Source organism: Homo sapiens, chromosome 13 (genome assembly GCF_000001405.40).
Source record: "Homo sapiens chromosome 13, GRCh38.p14 Primary Assembly".
In the NCBI taxonomy this organism is placed as follows: Eukaryota; Metazoa; Chordata; class Mammalia; order Primates; family Hominidae; genus Homo; species Homo sapiens.
The window spans coordinates 25,360,207-25,362,819 of NC_000013.11; positions in this window are offsets into that span (position 1 = coordinate 25,360,207).

The following is a 2,613-nucleotide window of genomic DNA, read 5'->3' on the forward strand; positions in this document are numbered from 1 at the left end:
TTTTTTATTGCATTATCTTTTTCTTATTAACTCAAAAATGTCAGCTGTTCATCCTTTGTTGGTTAACTATCTTATGCATATTTAATCCCAGTTCATGGCTTGTTTTTTCTATCTTTCATGTCTTTTGATGAGCAGAAATTCTTAGTTTTAATGCTGTTGAACTTCCTCATTTTTTGCTTTATGGCTTGTGTTATGTTTGTTTATTTAAAAAAATCTTTCTTTACTTAGAAGTTATAAAGGTATTATTCTCAAAAAAGAAAAAAGAAAGAAAATAAACAACCCAATTCTTGGGAGATGGGGAGCGAAACAAAAGTTATTTTCCATATTACACTATGATAGTTTTACTCTTTCCAACTGAAATTGACTCAGTTGGAAACTGACTCATGTGTATGATGTGAGAAATCTGGTTTCATTTTTATTTATTTATTTATTTATTTATTTATTTATTTATTTATTTTTTGAGACAGAGTTTCACTCTTGTTGCCCAGGCTGGAGTGCAATTGCACGATCTCGGCTCACTGCAACCTCTGCCTCCTGGGTTCGAGCGATTCTCCTGCCTCAGCCTCCCAAGTTGCTGGGCATACAGGCGTGGGCCACCAAGCCTGGCTGATTTTGTATTTTTAGTAGAGATGGGGTTTCACCATGTTAGTCAGGCTGGTCTTGAACTCCTGACCTCAAGTGACCCACCCACCTTGGTCTCCCAAAGTGCTGGGATTACAGGTGCCAGCCACTGTGCCAGGCCAATTTTATTTTTTTTTCACATGGAAACTGAACACTATTTGTTGAAAAATCTGTTTTTTCCATACTGCTCTAAGTATGACCTGTGTTATAGACCAAGTTTCATGTATGTGTGCATCCTTTTCTGTCTATTCTGCTCTATTGGTCTGTTTCTCTCAGCATTGAAACCACACTTAATTACTATAGAGTCTTAATTACCAACTTCTCTAACTTTATAACGAATCTAGTAGGTTAAGTTCTTCTACTCTGTTCATTTTAAGAGTGTCTTGTCTATTCTTGGCCTTTGGCTTTGCTTTACAAAATTGAGAATTTGCTTTTTAAGTACATGGAAATTCCCACTAGTTTTCCATTTCATTATGTAATCCAAAAAGTGACTGAGGCAGATCTCAATTGATTAGAGGTTTATTTTGCAAAGGGTGATGCCATGTCTGGGAGAAAGAAACACAAGTTACAGTGGGATCTGAATGACCTGTCGTTTTTCCAAAGAGCATTTTGGGAACTTATTCCAGTCAATAGAAAAAGAGGGAACCCTCCCTAACTCATTTTGTGAGGCCAGCATCATCATCCTGATACCAAAGCCTGGCAGAGACACAACAAAAAAAGAGAATTTTAGACCAATATCCCTGATGAACATCAATGCAAAAATCCTCAATAAAATACTGGCAAACCAAATCCAGCAGCACATCAAAAAGCTTATCTACCACGATCAAGTGGGCTTCATCCCTGGGACGCAAGGCTGGTTCAACATATGCAAATCAATAAATGTAATCCATCATATAAACAGAATCAATGACAAAAACAACATGATTCTCTCAATAGATGCAGGAAAGGCCTTTGACGAAATTCAACAGCCCTTCATGATAAAAACTTTCAATAAATTAGGCATTGATAGGACGTATCTCAAAATAATAAGAGCTATTTATGACAAAGCCACAGCCGATATCATACTGAATGGACAAAAACTGGAAGCATTGCCCTTGAAAATTGGCACAAGACAGGGATGCCCTCTCTCACCACTCCTATTCAACATAGTGTTGGAAGTTCTGGCCAGGGCAATCAGGCAGGAGAAAGAAATAAAGGGTATTCAATTAGGAAAAGAGGAAGTCAAATTGTCCCTGTTTGCAGATGACATTATTGTATATTTAGAAAACCCCATCATCTCAGCCCAAAATCTCCTTAAGCTGATAAGCAACTTCAGCAAAGTCTCAGGATACAAAATCAATGTGCAAAAACCACAAGCGTTCCTATACACCAATAACAGACAAACAGAGAGCCAAATCATGAGTGAACTCCCATTCGCAATTGCTTCAAAGAGAATAAAATACCTAGGAATCCAACTTACAAGGGATGTGAAGGACCTCTTCAAGGGGAACTACAAACCACTGCTCAATGAAATAAAAGAGGATATAAATAAATGGAAGAACATTCCATGCTCATGGATAGGAAGAATCAATATGAAAATAGCCATATTGCCCAAGGTAATTTATAGATTCAATGCCATCCCCATCAAGCTACCAATGACTTTCTTCACAGAATTGGAAAAAACTACTTTAAAGTTCATATGGAACCAAAAAAGAGCCCACATTGCCAAGACAATCCTAAGCCAAAAGAACAAAGCTGGAGGCATCATGCTACCTGACTTCAAACTATACTACAAGGCTACAGTAACCAAAACAGCATGGTACTGGTACCAAAATAGAGATATAGACCAATGGAACAGAACAGAGCCCTCAGAAATAATACCACACTTATACAACCATCTGATCTTTGACAAACCTGACAAAAACAAGAAATGGGGAAAAGATTCCCTATTTAATAAACGCTGCTGGGACAACAGGCTAGCCATATGTAGAAAGCTGAAACTGGATTCCTTCC